The sequence below is a fragment of the Homo sapiens genome, chromosome 15, assembly GCF_000001405.40.
Source record: "Homo sapiens chromosome 15, GRCh38.p14 Primary Assembly".
Taxonomy (NCBI): Eukaryota; Metazoa; Chordata; class Mammalia; order Primates; family Hominidae; genus Homo; species Homo sapiens.
Window position 1 is genome coordinate 87392646 of NC_000015.10, and position 21780 is coordinate 87414425.

General features: G+C 37.9%; 1 long non-coding RNA gene across 1 annotated transcript in view; it reads right to left on the minus strand.

Moving 5' to 3' along the window:
• Nucleotides 1–21780, minus strand: part of LOC102724465 (uncharacterized) — a 379687-nt gene that overhangs the window by 68477 nt on the left and 289430 nt on the right. Inside the window, exon 11 of the long non-coding RNA NR_187944.1 lies at nucleotides 13718–13836. This is a non-coding gene — a long non-coding RNA (uncharacterized LOC102724465). The remainder of the gene's footprint in view (nucleotides 1–13717; nucleotides 13837–21780) is intronic.

The window sequence follows — 21780 nt, forward strand, 5'->3', positions numbered from 1 at the left end:
CCTTCCCATCCCTCTGCACAGCAATTTACAACCCTAGCAGCCAAAGAAGATTGTCTATATACACAAATGATATGACACACATCACCCAGGCAAATCACCACCCATACAATTTGGAAAACAGGATAGGGTTAAGTGTTATGAGAGCCGGAATATGAGCAGCATTCAATTATTGTAAAAATAATGCTGCCTCCTATTTATATAGTGCCTTGATCCTGCTGAGCTCATGGTACAGCCATATCTTATTGTGAATTCTATTAATATGTTAGGTTCAAAGTCATCTTTCAAGCACAGATCATTACTGGTGTTCTTTCTCACGTAGCCCCTGTATGGGGTTACCTAAAATTAATCTCATTTCAGCAGTAGAGACTCTAGGTATGAAATGTGACAGTCATGCAACGCCACTATTCACCAGAGGAATAAAGACTAGATTCTAGTTTTGCATTATATCACAATCCTGCAGTTCTCACACTGCATGCCTAGGATGAATGACTGATGTCCCCCCAAAAACCTCCATAGCTCTGACTCAAGGGTGTTAATAATTGTACCTGTCACCAGAAAACCCGTCTCACCTATTCACCAGGTGAGGAACCAAAAGGATAGAAAGGTCACATGGTCTTTACACACTAGTTGGGCATGTTTCTGGGCCTTTCTGAGCCACAGTTTATTCCTTTTTAAAGAGAGCACAGAAATTCCTATTCACAAGGTCACAGGATGATGATGGTTAGGTGACTCCACACATACTGTAATAACAAAACGAAAGAGAGACTTTGAAGAACTATGAGAGATACCTGAACTTCTTCTTGCTGTTTAGAAAGACAGAGATTTAACTAAGGAAATGCAAGTAAATGGGAGGTCTTCTACCATTACTGCAATTCAAATTTTTCAAGTTTTCAAGGTGTCTTAGACCATCTGTGTTGCTATGAAAGAACACCTGAGGCCGGGCGCAGTGGCTCACACCTGTAATCCTAGCACTTTGGGAAGCCAAGGCAGGTGGATCATGAGGTCAGGAGTTCGCGACCAGCCTGGCCAACATAGTGAAACCCCATCTCTACTAAAAATACACAAAAGTAGCCAGGCATGGGGGCTGGTGCCTGTAATCCCAGCTACTTGGGAGGCTGAGGCAGGAGAATCGCTTGAACCCGGGAGGTGGAGGTTGCAGTGGGCTGAGATCACGCCACTGCACTGCAGCTCAGATGACAGTGTGAGACTCTATCTTAAAAAAAAAAAAAATTACCTGAAGCTGGATAACTTAAAAAGTAAAGAGGTTCATTTGGCTCATAGTTCTGCTGCTGTACAAGAAGCATGGTGCCACAGTCTGCTTCTGGTGAGGTCCTCAGGCAGCTTCCACTCATGGTGGAAGGTGAAGTGAGCAGACATGTGCAGAGTGGGACAAGAAGCAAGAGAGAGAGCTGGAGATGACAGACTCTTTATATCAACTAGAGGAAGAACCTACTCACCTCTCAGGGGATTAATCTATTCATAAGGGATTCACTCCCATAACCCAAACACCTTCCACTGAGCCCCACCTCCAACACTGAGGATCACATTTCAATATAGGATTTGTAGGGGTCAAACAAACCATGCATAACACAAGAGGAATTCTTCAGATTTATACTATTTTCCATTATTAATTTGTCCTCTCCATCAGAAAGCACATTTTGTAATTAAAATAAAACAAACAAACAAAAAACCTCCAGACCACAAGTAACCTGAAATTTGGGATCATGGGTCCTCTTTTTTCTCACAGTCTCAGCCAAAGTCCAGCACCAAATGTACTGTCTGCTCAGTGTAATTCTATTGCTTGTCCTCTTAAAGCAAAATGCTCTCTCATGCTTCTGAAAGTTGATATACGTTGTTCCTCCTTCATGTAATGTGTCCTCAGGTCCATATTTACTAGAACAACTCAAACTAGTCCTTCCTGACCTAGAACTGGTGGGGCTCAAGACTGGGAGCTGCAGACACAGGTGAAGTTGCCATCTACTCTCAAGCTCTTTCTTAATGTACCTGGTGAACAAGCCCCTTTTGTGTCATCTTCGCCAGGTACATTAAGAAAGACTGGAGGCAAGAAAGGAAACTGAAGGAAACATCCCAAAATTGTACTGACCTAGAGGAGAAGGGGAGGGGATAGGCTGCTGCTGCTGGATAAACATAAAGCCTCATTCATAGCCATGCTCAGACTTTTCCATCATATGGACCAAAACACATGAGCCAAAGGGAAATGAGCAACAGCACTGTCACCACCAGAGTACAGGTACAGAGCCATTGTTACTGGGGAAAAGATGAAGAGAAAAAGCACATGCCTCTGCGGGAAGAATATTGAACTGTTCCCAGCCCAGAAACTTATACCAATACAGAGGTTTCCTACCACGGGGGTAGGGAGAGGAAACTCTCTCCCAGATAAGACCTATTAAACATACAAGACAGAGTTTCCTACCTGGCATAGAGAAAATAGGGTAAATGCTAAGAAATTGTACCTCTAAAGTTCAGGCACATAGAGCTTATCTGGATAGGGAAAGACTAGATCCAAATAAATGCCCTTCAATTGATTATGTTAGCCTAGCAAGCCAAGGCGATAAGCAAAAACAGTATATAGTTAGAGAAGGGTAAAGGGGATCTCCCTGCTCTGTGGTACAGGCCTACAGTTGTGGCTAAAAGCTGAGAGCAGAAGACAGGCACACAGAAAAATCTTCTGGCACCTCAGCTTCCACTATGAGAAAAAAGCATCAGGAGAAGAATTTGAAGCCTGTGGTGTGCTGACAGTAATTCTAACAAAGAAAAACCAAACCTTGCTCAACTCCTGACCAAGTTGACTATGTACCCCACTTCACCTGCCTGTGAAGGGGCATGCCCACTTACAGGTGAAAATACTGCTCACTTCAGTCTCTGCTATTCTATATGAGATGTCTGTCACTCAATGAAATAGTATGGAATACCTGAATAGTTATGTGGTGGGGGTGGGGCAAAGGAGAACTACTTCAAAGAGACAAAACAATCAATACAATCAGACTTACAAATTATACAGGTGTTGGAACTATCAGGCAGGGTCCTAAAATAGCTATAATTAGTATGTTAAAGGATCTAGTGTAAAATATGCACAATATGCACAAACAGATGGAAAATTTCAGCAGAGAGTTGGAAACTATAAAAAGTCAAGTGGAAATACTAAAAATAATAACACTTAAAAAAACAACTATCATGTTAGAGATAAATTACTTGAGTGAGTTCATCAGTAGACTAAAGTCAACCAAGAAAAGAGTCAATAAACTTGAGGATAAGTCAATAGAAATTATGCAATCAAAAATACAAAGAGGAAAATGTATGAGAGCATCTAAGAGCTGTATGAAAATACCAATTCACCTAAAATATATGCAGTTGTATTCCCAGAAATTGAAAAAAAATGGGGATTAATAAATATATGTAAAGACCAATAATTTCCCCAAAATAATAAAAAATATAAAACCACAGATCCAAGAAATGCAGAAAATCTCCAAGCAGGAAAAATTAATATCAAACAAATGAAAACCAAGACATGGTGTTTATTTTGCATATAATGCCAACTGCCACAAATCCAAAATAAAGAGAAAAACTAAAAGGAAGCCAGTGGGGGAACAAAACACACTACATACAGAAGAACAAACATAAGATTATAGCAAATTTCTCAGTAGAAACAATGCGAGTTAGAAGAAAAATGTAGTGACATCTTTAAATTTCTAGAAAAGAAAAGAAGAAACTGCCAACCTACATTTTAATAGCTAGCAAAAATACATTTAAAAACTTAAGATGAAATCAGCACATTTTCAGAAAACAGACAAAAACATGAAAAGACTACATTGCTAGCAGATCTGTGCTACAGAAAATATTAAAGAAACTTTTTACTCAGAGAACATATAATTCCAGACAGAAACTTGAATCTGCACTAAAATAAAATGAAGTCTGGGAATGCTCAAAATAAAGGTAAATATAAAAAGACAATTTTCTTATTTGTAATGGCTCTAAAAGATAATTGACTATGGTCCAACAATGATAGACTGGATTAAGAAAATGTGGCACATATACACCATGCAATACTATGCAGCCATAAAAAATGATGAGTTCATGTCCTTTGTAGGGACATGGATGACGCTGGAAACCACCATTCTCTGCAAACTATCGCAAGGACAAAAAACCAAACACTGCATGTTCTCACTCATAGGTGGGAAATGAACAATGAGAACACATGGACACAGGAAGGGGAACATCACACACCGGGGACTGTTGTGGGGTGCGGGGAGTGGGGAGGGATAGCATTAGGAGATATACCTAATGCTAAATGACGAGTTACTGGGTGCAGCACACCAGCATGGCACATGTATACATATGTAACAAACATGCACGTTGTGCACATGTACCCTAAAACTCAAAGTATAATAATAATAAAATTTTAAAAAAAGGTAATTGACTATGTAAAGGAAAAGAAATAACTATTTATGTTTGGGTCTACAACATATGTAAAAATATAATGTATGATAGAAATACCAGAAAAAGCAGTAAGGGAAGAATTGGAGATATATTATTGCAAGGTTCTTCTACCTTACTTAAGGTGATACAATACTATTTGAAGATAACTGAATAATTATTTGTGATAATTGAATAATATGTATTGTAAATTCTATTAAAAATATTTAAATAAAATTAGGAAAGATATATGGATAATAGAACAATGATAGAGATAAAATGGAATCATAAAAATTCAAATGGTCCTTATTTTTCATTTTTCTGATATGCACACATTTTACTTATCATGGTTTAAACCCTAAATTTCAGTGTCAATGATTTTGTTGACCTCTGCAAAACATATCATATTTCAGTATTGTATAATAACTTCAAATAACCGCATATAGACTTTACTGCAAGCTCTTCAGTTCACAAATAACTATGTAAAAAAAAAAACAGATATGCATCATTATCAGTGACCAATCATATCACTCTTTTCAAAACCTATCAAGGACTGGTCCCTGCACTCTGTTCTTCAGTTCCTGCACAGACAGTATAGCGAATAGTTTTGTTGCTGTTTGGTCACTCAGTGATAACCTTACATGTAACAAACAAGGTAATTGAAAGACAGAATTGGAGACAAAGATGAAAATGCAGGCAAGAAACAAAAAGTGATGATGCTGTAAGTGAAATTCAACTTGAACATAAGGGATCCTATGGAAAAAAGTAGCTGACCATGACCTGTACACTGCCATTGTCCAAGAGACTCTAGACATGCAGCCAGAAGACCTGAGTGACAACAAATATACTGACAATAATGAGTAAAGGGGCTTGTGAGAAAAAAAGAGAAAGTAAAGGTTTTGAAAAAACTTCAGATTAAAGAAACTCTCAAAAATATTTCATGACATTGAAAACACAAAAGACCAAATGTCAAAAACAAATCCAAACTTATAAAAGAGTATAACAATTTTCCAAAACATAGAAAAGAGGCTTACTCCATATTGTAAATTTTACTATGAGAAGAATGCAACACTTTCCAAACTACTATGTTACAAAAACTAACAAAGTAAGCCCCACAATTCTCAATGTTTTGAATTACAGTAGACTAAATGTTTTTAATTACAGTATATTAAAAAATTAGTGTTTTTAGTTTTAATTTTTCTACACATTATAACAGTAAGAAAGATTTAGATGTTTTGGGCAAAAAAATTAAAGGTCATGAAACCATTGTAGATGATCCTATTGATTTTTAAGATCACTTTGTATGGTTTCAGCTTCCATAGTTATTTTTATAGTACTACTCTACCGTGCCAAACAGGGAACACTTACAATCTAACCTGTCTCAAAGGAGGCTGAAAAGTAGGCAAAAGGATGAAAAAAAAAGATGGAAATTTAAAAAAAATAGCCAGGTGATAGATTTTAAACCAACTATATCAATTGTTTCACTAAATATAAGAATTCTAAGCATCTCAATCAAAAGACAGATATCAATTAAAAACAGAGAGTAAGTCATTTTGCATTAAAAATCAAGGCCCAATTATATTATTGTTTCTTAAAAATATACACAGGGTTAGGTAAGAGGATGGGAAAATATGTGTAATGAAAACGCTAATCCAAAGGAAGCTGGAGTGACTATACAATATTAAAGTAGATTTCAGAACAACAAATATGACCAAGGGCGAAATGTCGCATTATATACTCTTCAAGAAGTTCTTTCACCAAAGAAGACAAAACAATCATAGACTCATATGGACCTACACCAGGGCTTCAAAATAAATGAAGCAAAACCTAATAGTTTGTGAATTCAAGAATCATGCCTTAGGAATACATAGAGCAAGTAAAAAAATATTACTATGTATAGAAGAACCTACATAACAGTATCACTCAACGTGAATGAGTTAACACTTCTAGAACATTCCATCAAACATTGTTTTCCAGAAAGTATCAAGTATACACATTGTTTTTAAGTGCACCTAAAGTATGCACAAGGATATATTTTGTGCCACAGATCAAGCTTCAAAAAATTCAAAATAATTTAAATCATAAACTATGCCATCTGACTATAAAGTATACAATTTTCAACAACAGAAAAATTTGGATAATATACACAAACTTCTAAATAACCTACAATTAGAAGTTATGTAGGATATTAGAAAATATTTTGAATCCAATTAAAATGAAAATAAAATGTATTAAAATTTTAAGGATGCAGCTAAAGCAGGGCTAAAGAAAAAGAATTACAGGATTAAGGATTATGTTAGAAAAGAGGAGAGGACTGAAATCCTCGATCTAAACTTTCACTTTATGAAATTAGCAAAAAGAAAAAAAATTATACCTATAGTAAGCAGGGAGAAAAAAAATAACATCATAAATAAATTCAAAAAGAGAAAAGAATTTAAAAAGGCCAATTAAAACAAAAGGTAGTGTTTTCAAAAGATCAGTAAAGTTGGTAATCATATAGCCAGGTGGTCAACCAACTGCATTCCATGGGCAAAATCTACCTCACTGTTTGTTTTGTAAATAAAGTTTTATTGGGACACAGCTACACCCATTTATTTACATATTATCTATGGTTGTTTTCCACTACAACAAGAGAGTTGAGTAGTTGAAACAGAGACCAATGACCTGCCTACACAAAAAATATTGACCATATAGCCCATAACACAAAAAGTATTGCCAAATTCTGTCCTGCTCTCATTCAAATGATAAAGAAAAAAAAAGAGAAAATAAACATATTTTTTATATCAGGAATATTGAAATCAAGGATTTCACTACAGATTCTATAAATATTACATGATAATAAAATATAAAGTTTTAAAAAACCTTTATGTCAAATTAGGTGAAATAAATAATTGTATTGAATGACACAAACTGCCAAAGCTCTTTCCAAAAGAAAGTGATAACCTGAATAGTCATACATCTAAGAAATACATTGCAATTTTAGCTAAAATTCTTCCCACAAAAAAATATTCAGACCCAGATGTTTTCCCTAGGGAATTCTACTAAACATTTAAGGAAGAAACACCACCATTTCTGTATGAACTTTTCTAGAAAATAGGAAATGAAGAAAAACTTCCCAACATGTTTTATAATGCGAGAATTACCCTGAAATGAAAATAAAGATATTATAAGAAATCTACAGAGCAATATCCCTCATAATCATAGGAACAAAAATGCTCAAAAAATTAGGATATGAATCTAGCAAGATATAAAAAGATAGCACATCATAACCAAGGGAGTTTAACCCCAGAATAGAAGTTTAGTTCAACATAGAAAATCAATCAATGTAATTTACTATATTAATAGACTAAAGAAGAAAACCATTAATTACAATCATCTCATTAAATGCAAAAAAAGCCTTTAACAAAATTTGACATTCATTCATGATAAATACTCTCAGCAAACTCAAGTGGAAGGGGACTTCCTCAGGGTGACAATCTTCATCTACGAAAACCCTACAGCAAATGGCACACTTAATAATGAAAGTCTGACTGTTTTCCCTCTAGACTAAGAAAATGGTAAATACTTTTGTTGTCAAAATACTTTTGTTGTTATATTGTATGTCTTATACTGGATGTCTTATCCACTGCAATAAAGGTGTAGTTCAAGGGGGGAATATATACACATTAAAAAGGAAAAAAATAAAGCTATCTATAAGTACAGAGCAATAATTTTCTATGTAGAAATTCCTGTATAAATGACAAATAAAAATGCAAAGACTAATAAGTGAATTGAGGAAGGTCACGTGATAAAAGGTCAACAATAAAAATCAATTTTATTTCTATATACTAGCAATGAGCAATTAGAAATTAATTTTTAAAATATCTTTATAATAGCATTAAAGCATTAAATACTTGAGCATAAATCAAACAAAATGTCTATATAATCATTATGCTGAAAACCATAAAACCCAGAGAAGAACAATCAAAGAAAGTCCAAGTAAATAAAAAGATATAATGTGTTCATGAGTTGGAAGACTCAATATTATGAAAAGTTCAATTATTTCAAAACTGATCTATAGATTCAAATAATTCCAATAAAAACTTTAACATGATATTTTGTTGAAATGTGTAAGTTAATTTAACAATTTACATTAAAATACAAAGGAAACATAATAGCCAAAAACAATTATAAAGATAAAAACAAAACTGGAGTGCTCACACACTTGATTTTAAGATATACTGTATAGCTTCAGTAATCAAGACAGTGTAGTGTGAGTTAAAGAATAGACATATAGATCAGTGAAACAGGGGAGGGAGTCCAGAAAATAAACCCAAGCAAATCTAGCCAACTGATTTTTGGCAAAGATACTAAGGCAAATCAAGGGAGAAAGAATAGCATTTTCAAGAAATGGTGCTGGAACAGGCATCTATGGGCAAAAGGAAGGAAGGAAAGGAGGAAGGAAAAGGAAGGGGAAGGGGAAAAGGAAGGGAGGAAGGGAGGAAGGGAGGGAGGGAAAAAGAAAACCCAAACTGAAACTATAATTAATGTTTCTATTAGAACACACTGGACGAATTCTTTGTAACCATGGATTTTAGAAAGATTTCTTAGATATGGCTCCCAAAGAATGAGCCATAATAGAAAACATTGATAAGCTGGACTTCATAAAAACTATACACATCTGTTCTTCAAAAGACACTATTAAGAAAATGAAAAGACACCAATCAGCCTGAGAGAAAATTCTCATTTGCAAAACACATATTTGATAACAGACTTGTATCCAGAATATAAAACGAACTCCCAAAACCCAATCATAAGAAAGCACAACCACCTTATTTTAAAAAGTGAGCTGAAGATTTGAAGAAAACCACCACTAAAAATGATATATGGATGAGATGGCAAATAAGTACATGAAAAGATTCTTGACATATTATTTATTGGGAAAATGCAAATTAAACCCCAAATGATATACTGCCGCACACTCTTTAGGATTTTTAAGTGCAGTGAAAAGCCACTGGAGCATCTAAAGCAGGGAGGTTACAAGAGATTTATCAGCATTTGTTGAAAAGATCACAGTGATTGTTGTGCAGAGTAGGGAGGTGACAAGGGAAGCCGAGACCATTGAAGCAGCTGCTGTGCGTTAGACTAAGGTGTGGATGGGAAGAGGAGTCATCTTTCGTAGTTGAGCTAGACTTGTCAGTGGAGCACTTGCAGTGGATTGGATGTGTAGGGAGAAGGGGAAAAAAAAAAAGAACTAGGAGTAAAAGGTGAAAGATTTATATGATATTACCTTGACTGTGGGTATCATCCGTGTTTGTATATATCCAAAGCCATCAAATTGAACATATTAAATATGTGCAATATTTTATCAATTATACCTCAATGAATCTGTTTTTAAAATAGAAACGGGTGACTTCTAGGTTTTAAGCCTCATCAGTCAGATGTTCATGGTGCTATTTACTCGGATGGAAAAACACTGGGCTGAAGAAAGCTTGGAGGAGAAAAATCAGTAATTTAAAAGGATTGTAATATTGCATCCCTCATCCTTATTTTATTTCTCTTTCTTTCTTTCTTTCTTTCTTTTTTTGAGACGGAGTCTCTCTCTGTTGCCCAGGCTGGAGTGCAGTGGTGTGATTTTGGCTCACCGCAACCTCCGCCTCCCAGGTTCAAGAGATTCTCCTGCCTCAGTCTCCCTTGTAGCTGGGACTACAGGCATGCGCCACCAGGCATGACTAATTTTTGTATTTTTATTAGAAATGGGGTTTCACCATGTTGGCCAGACTGGTCTCAAACTCCTGACCTCAGGTGATCTGCCCACCTTGGCCTCCCAAATTGCTGGGATTACAGATGTTAGCCATCGCACCCGGATGCATCCCTCATCTTTAAACACTGAAAACATCCCTACCAGCCAAATGGATGGAGTTGGAGCGCAAATATTTTAGCTCATTATATCTAAGTTTGACTTCCGTCTTGTTACTCTGAATACCAGAACAAAGAGATATTCACATTAGTTGTCATGAAATCATCAAATTGAAAAACCTACTGAGACCTACTGTGTGCTCAGTACTGGGTTGGCATCACGAAAAACACAAAATTATAAACTTCAATTATTGTTCGTAAGTAACTTAGAAACTAATTAATAGCATAAGATATTTATGAGTAGTGATCCAGAACAAAAAGTAAAGCTGATAAAAATAATTTATTTAGCACACCATCAACAATGTCCTATAGGCTATGTGTGCAGATTGTCAAATATGAGGGACAGACACAGAGCTGATGTGAAAGGACAGAGTGATCCCTGTGCGCTGGAGTGGTCCTGGAAGCTCTCTTGATGGAAGAATGGCTTGATCTTAATGCAAAATAACCGAGGGAGCATTCCAGAGGGGGATACAAATCTACAACAAAATGCAGTTCTTCCTCCTGTCTCAGGGGAAAGTTAACCATTTTCTTTGAGAAACAGACATGTGAATAGAAATAACTAAAATAAGCTCTTTGGAATCAGTAAAGAGAGCCTATACAACAACTACAAAGAATTTTCCAGCCATAGACTCATATCATGAAAAGTACTAAAATGAATATTATCCAGTCTAGGCATTCTGCCCTACTGGAAGCCCCTTTATGGGCAGAGATGAGAATTCACCATAGTCTTTGATTTTCTGATTTGTAAAGTCTACAAAGAATATGTAGAATGAATGACTAACATTTTAACAAACCATACCTTTTGTACTGAGATATATTTTTTTTACTAAACCTTGTCCTGGATAAACAACTTTTGGCCCATAAGCCAGGGTAGACAAAGATCAAAGTTATGTTCACCATGCATCCCTTTTCATTCAAAAATATTTTGGCTTGCACTATCACTCAGCTATACAGAACTGATCATTTTAATTCCCCTAAAGCACATGGAAAAAAAGCTTTTTTAGATTAAAAGTGCCTATTTTCAAACAATGGCCTGCTGTGCTCGTCTAGACTTAAATAGACACCCAAGTGACCACCTTCGGATAAAAGGTCATGAAGTGTCATGAAGCACCAGCTTCTCCTTGGGAGGGTGGTTGAGGTCAGTGCTCACTCTGAAGGGCTCAACAAATTTGGATAATGCTTTCCAAGGTCAAATGAGACGAAACTGAAGGATGAAACTCAACCTATTTGTGAGAAATGAAACCAGGTCTCACTGAGTTTCAGTCACCACATTGATGACACTGGTAGTCAACTGATTCTCCAGCGAGTAAGGGAACAGCTGCATGAATGAGAATACGAAATAGCAATCATCAGGAAACACCATTGTGTCTAAGACTCCTTCTCCATGGGAGAGCTCTTTCCAACTCAGATGGGACCCAGCAGTTGTTCTCCTTGCCTAAATCCAGAATGGAGTGAAGATGTCGCACTTGATTCTCCCTCGGCACAGCTGAATTTCACAAGGGAAAGATGACAGACAAAGAGATGGGGCAGAACGGAGAGCGTGGCAGGGAGAGAGAGAGCAAACCAGAGAGTGCAAACAGCTTTAAAACTATGTAAGACAAAGGAGAAGTCATTGGTTGGATGAAAAATACCAGATGGCAACCAAAACCTTTGGAAAAATGGAACAGATGAAGGAGTCTCAACTGGGACCTTTAGAAAGGTCGATTTAGGAGCATTGTACATGGGCTATCAGTGTTCTAGGACCACTGCACACAGCTACCAGCATCCAAGCTAAAGAAATTCCAGTCCAGATCGTGTTCTGTCACCCAAGCTGGAGAGCAGTGGCACAAACATGGTTCATGGCAGCCCTGACCTCCTGGGCTCGAGCAATCCTCCCGCCTTGGCCTCCCAAGTACCTTGGGCCAGAGATGCAAGCCACCATGCCCAGCTATTTTTTTATTTTTATTTTTGGAGAGATGGGGGTCTTGCTATGTTGCTTGGTCTGGTCTCAAACTTCTGAGCTCAAGCCATTCTCCTGCCTTGATCTCCCAAAGTGCTGGGGTTATGGGCACGAACCATCACACCCAGCATGAAGTCAATTCTTAAAGAGGAGTAATTGGAAGGTTAGTATCAGAGTTCTACCTAGTCATTTCTAGAGTTGACCACACTTTCTCCTTCCTCAAGTCACTTGCAGGCACCTCTGCCTGGAGTGCTCACCCCCTGGGTATAAATAAGGGTAATCTCTTGACATTTTTCATATCTGTTTTACAGTTTCCTCAGAGATGCCTTGCCCAGCTAGCTGACCCAAGGCAGCATCCTCTATCACTCTCTATATCAACAGGACCAATGCCAGGAATCACCCTACATTTCAAATAGAGGGACTGGTTGTAAGAAATGGATTATAAAAGCATTAGAAATACTGAGTGGACAAAATGAGGTGGCTAAGTAACTGAGTTATTGGTAACCGTGAGAAGCAGCTGCCATCCAAAGGACTTGGAGGACAAAGGGAGGAGGCAAAGCGAGGACCACCAGAAGGAGCCCCTCCCCTACAACAGCCTGTGCTGGCAGCTGGAGGAGATGCCAGACAAATCCGTGGGGGTGACAAGTGCCAGGACCAGGCTCAGAAGGGAGCCTGCATACAGTTGATAAAATAGCAAAGGGCTCAGCCAGGAGCTTCTCTTGGATATGGAAATTAATCATCTAGAGCCAAAACTCCTTTATTTGACCCCCACACGTCAGGAGGCAATATTCCTTTGCCTTAATTACCCCAGAGCAATGGACCAAGAAACTAAGAACCACCCTATAGCCCAAAGCCTTCCTAGGTTATTCAAACTAGTCAGTCCTAAACTGTTCAACCTGTCCTGCTCTTTCCAGTGGAAATCTCAATAAAGGCTCTGGCTGAGACCTTCCCCTCACTTCTGCTTTCTGCCTTCAGACCACCCTGAGACTTGCCCATGGGGCCCTGTGTAGCAAGCCATGCCCTCCTGTGTCCAAGACATGTGAGAATATTAATAAGCTTTGTTTTCCTGAGCATCTCCTGCATCTCCGCTTGTGGCCACACCTGACTGCCCATCACATAAAAAAGCACAGAACAGGTTGCAGGAATATGGGTGAAAGACACTGGAGTCTATAGCTGCTGCTGAAAGAGAGGGCAAGCAGGAGGCTCCTCCTGCCTCTAAACCCCTAGTACAGATTCTCTCTGGCAGAGCTCCTTAGGAAGCTTTCTGGGAAAAACATCAGGAAATGTAGTTTTCCTGGTCCCACTATCCCACCCACCCCCGAAATATAACAAAGCATAGAAAGGCCCTGAGGGGGACTGACACCAAACAGGAAAATGACCAACACGTGATTATATTGCCTTTGGATGTACCATTCTCTGAAATTACTCATTTATTTGTGTGCTTACCTGTTGCCTGCTTCCTTCTGTAGAATGAAAGAATATGAGATCAAGACGTTGATTATCTCATTTAGTCTATTCCCAGTGGCTCATACACGGCTCCAAGTTAGTTGGTTCTCAATAGTACCCTTGTTCAATAAATAAATGAAGGAAAAATAGTAAATATTTGTAGTCTATTCAATAAATAGATGTGTTTAAGTTATTCTACCTGAAGAGTTTTCATTTCTCCATATTAGTATAGCTATTTCTAAGGTTTTCTTATTTACAAATTTATAATAGAAGGATGGAAGGAGAGAAAGAAGGAAGGAAGGAGAAAAGAAAAAAGAAAAAGAACAAACGAAAGAAAGAAAGAAAAAGAAGAGAGAGAATAAAACAAAGAGGGAGGGAGGGAGGGGGGGGAGGAGGGAGGGAGGGAGGGAGGGAGAGACTGCAGCCATTGTCGTAAATAATTATTACTATTCAGACCAAGTGCAAGTGAACTGATAAATATGTTAAGATTTTGGCATCCAAGGAGAGCAGACCAGTTTAACCATCTCTAATAGAGAAGGCTTTTCTGAAATTTTCCTGATCGGTACCCCTCCCAACAGGTGTCTTCTCCTACAAGTTAAGGTACTCCCCCCATCTCTCCAGGTGGATCTCCTAAGACAACAAACTTTGCAGACTCTTTGAGAGTTCTAGCCTTGTCCCAATACCTAGCCTTGTACATGATGATCTTTCTGTTTGAAACACCCCACCTCCCTTCCCCATGAGACAAAGCAAGAATACTTCTTATTGACCTGCTGAGCCCATCCTCAAAGCACGGAAATAATGGCAAATTTTGAGTTTCTTCAAGGGAAATTCCAGGCACCTAGCCATCCCTGAGAATTAAATGAGCAGCTTCATAAGGAAGAAGGTAATAGTAGCTTAAAACAATAGCCAAGGAAGTTAGAGTCCTGAGATATTCTTTATAGAAACTAAAGGTACTATATATATAATATATATAGTATATGTATATATATAATATATAGTATACGTATATATATAATATATAGTATATGTATATATATAATATAGAGTATATGTGTGTATATATATATATGTGTGTGTATATATATATATATATATATATATATATATATATATTTTTTTTTTTTTTTTTTTTTTTTTTTTGAGACAGAGTCTCGCTCTCTCACCAGGCTGGAGTGCAGTGGCTCGATCTCAGCTCACTGCAACCTCTGACTCCCTGGTTCAAGCAATTCTCCTGCCTCAGCCTCCCGAGTAGCTGGGATTACAGGTACATGCCACCACGCCCAGCTAATTTTTGTACTTCACTAGAGACGGGGTTCACCATGTTGGCCAGGATGGTCTCAATCTCCTGACCTCACGATCTGCCCGCCTCAGCCTCCCAAAGTGCTGGGATTACAGGCATGATCTACCGCACTCGGTCTAAAGATACCATATTAACATATGTCCTTGAGTTGTTTTTCAGAAACCCAGACCCTCACAAAATGGAACTACTGGCATGTAGACCTCAGATAAGGGGAAACTGAGACTAACATCAACTACCATTTTTTATTTTAAAGTTCTTGCTGAGGAGCCTGAAGGAAGTCACACCCATGTGATAGAGCTAACATCCTTTTCTCCTGACCCCAAATTTTTAGATAAAACTTTTCCCTCCTTAACCAATCGCAAATCAGAAAATCTTTGAATCTACCTATAACTTGTAAACCCCTGGTTTGAGAGGCCCCACCTTTTTAGGTCAAACCAATGTATAGCCACCATGTATTGATGTATAACTTTCCCTGTAACCTCCGCCCCCTGGGTTTTTAAAGGCAGGTCAGCAGGGAGGTCTGGTCTTCAGTGTGAGCTGCCTGATTTCCCTTGCTTTGTTCCCTGCAAATAAATGCCCTCCTTTCTCCCACTGCAAATCACAGTGTGGATGTTTGGCCTTACTAGACCAGGCAAGCAGACCACAGTTTGGTTCTGTAACATCCAGTTGGCAAACACTTAAAAATGCCACAAGGTTAATGAGTCTTCTCTGAGCTTCCTTGGTGCTCTCTCTGCACTTCTCTAGAACTGTCTTCCATCTAGCCATTATGATACTAGATCATGATGATTATTTAGCTTATCTCTCAGGCTTTCACACCAGAATGTGAGTACCTTGAGGCAAGAAAGCTTGTGTTTGCATCTAGCACAGTGCCTAGCAGAAAAGAAATAACATATAAACACTGAATAAAGGAAGTGAGGGAGAGAAGGAGAGTGAAGGGAAAGAAAGGAGAGAGGATGGCTTTTCATTGTATAAAGAGCCACACTATCTCCCTTTCTGGATGTTGTCATAATTAAATCAGCCCACCGTAACCAGTAGAACATCAAATCATATCTTCTCAAAGATTAAATTTTGTTCAACAAAGAAATGAAGGAAATGTTAATGTTCTACTTTCTTAGACAACCATACAGCCATATTAGACATTTCAAATGTTTTCCTAGACAAATACTATGACATATTGCAAATCCCTATTTCTTGCAATCACTATTGCTTTCAAATAGCCTTTCTGAAGTTTCCTAATGCATGGCACCATGTCTTTCTTTCTTTTCTATGCCAAGCCTTATGATAACTGTCTTCCCTACCAAAATATTACGAGAATTCTCTGGCCCAGCTGACCGCAGGGCAGTTCTTGGAGGGGGTATTTAGGCTGTTTTTAAGTACAAAAGAAAGTATGTGGTTCTGATGTGTAATGAAACTGGTGTGGTGTGGGGCACCACTCAGCTCAGGCTGCTGAGAAGTCTCTCCCTGTCTGCCAGTGCAGTGCTTACAAACTGAGCTTTGCTTTCCATTCTGAGTCTATGGTCTTTTTTCACAGACAGAATTGCTCATCCGGTCCCAGACTGCCGTCGATTTTCACCCAAGAGCAATGTCCATAAGTCAATATCTACAATGTTTAGGATTCAACTTTCCTATCTGATTTCGAAGCTTAGGATTACAATTTTGCCTATTTTAATCTTCTGATTGCCAAGAATCCTCAAAGATTATAGATAGTGAGTCTGAGATTACATTTGCAAGTTCCTTTAGTATCCTGGGATGGAATCCTCTGAGTTACGAATTTAAACTTCCCTAGACAAGCAGTCACTTCTTACTTCCCCATCTGCCTTGAGTAGTCATTGTACTTTTACATTTTGTCTTCTGTTCTTACCGGTTTAAAACCCAGTTTAGTTGCTAAAGAATTCCACAGCAAAATAAGTAAGAAATACATCTCTCTTCCTCCTACCACCTATTAAAATCACATCACCAGCCAGGGAATGAGCCTAAAGCCTGTTACTACAGACAAGACTTTAAAGGCCATTTGTGTTGTGTTTAATATCTTTGTATGTTTCAACTAATTCTAAGCTTTCCTCTTTGTCACATGTAAGAACTAGGGTTCTATGTTTCTCGCTCATATTTCTTTTTCCTTAGTTGTTGGTCCTTCACACAAAATTTGTTCTTTTAAAAATCTGTGCTTACCAGGAAATTAAACCTGTGTGGCATAAAATTATATAGAGAGAATCATAAAGAAATATTTTTTGGTTAAAAAAGTAAAAAGTATGGTGGTAGATAATATACCTATGTATGTGCTGCAATATCAAGGAGTAAAGAGGAATAGGTTTATGATCTAAGTTTTCCTTCCATCTCTGTCTTCTCTACACTTAATTCCTTTCTTTGCAGGCAAGCACTGTGATAAATTTCTTGGGTTAGGGCTGTCCTGCAACTCACCCAACCAGATGCAGTGGGCTTTGGAAACTTCATTTATCTTTCCAAAGAGAGAGAATATATAAAATTGCATTTCAACAAAATTTTGAACATCAACTATGTACACACTAAGAAAATTACAGAGGCAATTTTCTTACATTTCCTAATTAACTTCCCTTAGCTTAAAGAACCGATTAAGCTCTTCTTGGAACTCTCTATTTCTTATCCTTTCCTGGCTTAAAATCCTTCAGGGGCTCTCCATCACTGACAAAATAAAATCTTTCCCCTTTATCGTTCACCCTTTCTAAAAACAGACACATTTTTCAGGCTTCCTAATCGAAATTTCCCAATTTCAGCTGCATTCTCCAGCTCCCCATTGCTGCTTCTCATGTCTACGACTCTGCACAGGCCGCACTCGGATGCTAGACTGCCCTTAACCCTCCTTGACTTCTTAATAAACATCTCTTCATCTTTAAAGACACAATGAAATCTCACGTTTTCTGGGAAGATTTCTTTTTCCCTCCTTTCTCTTCCAAAGTTAATTTCCTTTTCTCCTATCACACCCATTTCTTGGTATTTATTATTGTACTTACAGCACTCCAGCTTTTTCTCACCATCAAAGAAAGCCTAGCTTATTTCCAATGTATGTGATTTATCAAGGAGTTCTGTAATGTTGATCATTCAACTCTGATCTCAGGCAGGCATAAGGATGAAATTACCCCTTAAGTTCTCGGTTTTTCCTCTTGAAGTTGTTTATAGTATCCAGGGAAAGAAATGCCCCTGTGGTTCAATACTGCATTACATATTTTTATTATTTCCCCCATGAGAATGCAGGCTGCTTGATGGCAGGGAACCTGGCTTGGTGATAACACTGCCTGTCCTTTTTCTTAAGCTTCATTTCCCAATTCTGTAACCAAGGCTCCCCTTTGCTCTTCAACAGGTCCTCCTCCCTTTCTCCCCCTGCCTTGGAAAGCACTATTTCTGATATCTGAAACTGCCCTTCTTTTCCACTCCTCTTTAGCTAATTTACATCTAATTTATCCTGATCAAATGTAATCTAACCTAGACTAGCTATTCTTTCTCTGCCTCCTCCCCCATCCTGTGCTGTTCTTCATCTGACCTCCCATCTCAGTGCATTGCCATTGCTTACTCATTCTGGTCCCCTAGCTTATACTGTCTGTAAGCTCCTGGAGAGCAAGGACTGTGCTTTCATCGATGTAGCCCCAGGTCTTAGTACCGAGACTGGTACAGATAAGTCTTGGCAGGTGCTTACCAAAGGAAGTGGTTAATGGAGTTTTGCTTCCCTCCAGTTGTCTGGCTCTACTTCCAGAGCTGATTCTTGGTAAGCTGGGGTAGGGAAACTATCCTTTACTACCTAACCCTTTCTTCCACCTCTGCACACAGAAAAGTAACTTCAGCAAGTTTCCCTGGTCACCGAGGAGCCATTCTAGGTTGAAATAAATTCTATCCATCTGAACATACTACTCTGTGGTGTCTGCTTGACCTCACCAATGAACAGCCTTTAACTTTGATTTCTCTCCTCTAGCCAGACATGAAAAACTGTTTTCTTAGAATTCCTTGTTCTCATTAAAGTTAGGTCTAAGTCTTCCATTTTTCAGTCTTCTTAACCCCAGCATCGCTCAGAAGCCTCTTCTGGGTCACCTCTATCCCCTTTCATGGCACTTCCATGTCTCTGAGATGCTGATTATTCCCAGGCAGCAGCAGCAGAAAACTATAGCATCTGCATTTCGCTGTGCACCAGTACCCTTGACCACAGCCAGAATGAGGCTACCAGAAACTCATGCTAATTGTAAGAAAGGCTTTTGTTTCACACAAGTCATCTAGCAATTATTAAGGGATTACTTATCCAATTTTGGGATGCTCTAGCCCTCTTAATACTACATCAAAAGGGCAATCGTGGAATATCAAAGCTGCTGAAATTTAAGACCAATAACTTATGTTCTTTGCTAATAGGCATCCCCTGCCCCTCTGCTTCTCCCTTCCATCCCCTTAAGGCTTGGAGAGCCCAAGGTTTAGACCTAAGCCTTCAGCTTTTGTGCCTCTAAATCAATAGTTTTCAAATACCCTTTTATAATAAACCTTTTTATCCAAACAAATCTAATGTTTGGATTCTGAATATATATTTGAAAAGACTTCACTATCTATGTATTTTAAACTCCTCATTACAGCAACTACTGCTTAAGTAATAAAATAATGATAATGAGACTAATTTTAAGAAACTATAATGTTTACTAGATGAATTTGTTTTTTTGTTTGTTGAGGGGGGCGTCTGGCATAGCATTAAATTTATCTCTGGATATTGCAGTTGCACGGTCTGTAAATAATGCTAATTCTCATGCATAAATTGTTGCAAACAATAACAATTTGGGTTTTTGTATTTTTAAACTGTTTTTGCTGAGTATTAAGTGTACTTAGACATTTTTGCTTTACAGCTGAATCCTTTGCAATGTCTCTCAAAGCCACCAAGATGCATTAGAAGTGTTTACAACATAATACTGCCACTATGGGATATGTGATTGTATTTGCTTGTACTAGTTTCCATGATTGGACACTCAAATACCTACATTTAGAAGAGAAAAGAATGAGCACATGACTCCTATACAAAAAGACCAAATATGTACCCAGAGATGAGAAAAGTTTATATTTAATATCTGCACAAAATGAATGCATTGGCAACATATTAAAAGCATAGGTGTGCTCTAATATGTTGAAATTTAATACAAAACCTATTTAATGGCTTTATTTTAAACTCGATTTTTAATATTTTTTGAAAATAGTTAACATATTAAATTGTATATTTTTAAAAATAAATATTTTTTGTAGAGCTCCTGTATCTGGGGTTTATAGACTGTTTGAAGACTATTCTACAAATCTGTTTCTCTAATTTCCATCAACTCTAGGCAGGGGACAAATGTATTTCCATGTGTAGGCCTGACATCTTCTGTCCTTGGTCCTGCTGAGATTTACCACCTGATATCTGTGACTACCTCATATAACAAGGATAAAACCTCCCTATCTTCCCCTAAAACTAACTCCTCATCTGTTTGACAGGGTGTGGGATCTCTTTTGGCCTTATCTCCTATAACACTTACTCTCTAGAACATGAATTTTGGCAATTAATTAATTTCTGTTTTGTAGGTTCTACAAGTAATTTAAGTTTGTAAATTTTATCTCTGAAACAACTTATGAAACTTGAGGGCAGGGATCAGAGCCTATTCTTCTCCTATTCCCCTAGCCACAGTAGCAATGCTAAGTTCAGAAGAGGTATTCAATGCATGCTTCAAATGAAGAGTGGATAAAACATGATTTTACAGTTGATCCAGGATCCTCATTCCCAATATGCATGAATTATAGTTTCTAAAATAAAAGGCATCGTAGTAACAATAGCAACTTCTCATTGAAATCTCTTATTTTTACTCAGCTCATAGTATTTCTCTGGTTTTGTCAAAAACAGTACCTCCTGATACACTTGGGCTAGGAATTCTAACAGCTGCTATCTCAGAATGATTTGCTATCTCTATGATATGAAATGCCCTTCACCCTGCAATACTAATGGAAATAAGCAATACACAAAGATCCTTTGTAGTGCAAAAAGAATAATATTCCCAAATATCCATCCATCCCTCTCACAAAGTCCCTTTAGGCTGCCTGTGGGGACTTGGTGACATCCAAAGCTCCTTCCAAGTCAAATGGAAAAAGGACATGCCTTTAGATTTGCATCCTTCTCACTAAGACACGAGTAATGCCTGGCTCTGGATGATTCAATAACTTTATGCCCTTGGGCAAGGCACTAAACCAGAGTGGCTTTCTGTTTTTTACTTTATTTTGAAATGAAAGCTAAAATAAATGGGCCACATTTTGTGAAATGAGAGGTAGTTGGACCCAGGAAACCCAAACAAGTAATCTGCTGGAAGAATCTCTCAAGGCTATGCAAAAAATAAAAGTGAATAAAAGTCATCAATTACTGAGCTCTGTGTACTTGGCTATTCCCCAAATATTTCTAGTAAATACCCACAAACATTCTGCAATATAGGTTAATTGATGCCCATTTTTCTGATAAGGAGAGTAAACCCTTCTCCCATAGGGACACACTATAAAATGTCAGTGTTGGACATGACCCTTATCTATGCAACTTTAAAGCATGCTTTCTCCAGCTCTCTGTGCCAATCTACGACTATTGTACAGGAGGAAAAACAATTTCCTCTCCACTTTCCTGAGTTCTCAGCAGGGACCCCTGTAACAAAAGATAGATTAACAAGAGAAAAGCCAACAGAAGTTTATTAACATGTATATTTCATGCATACATGGGAGAAAACTCAGGGAAAGAGTAACTCTCTGAGGGCTGGCG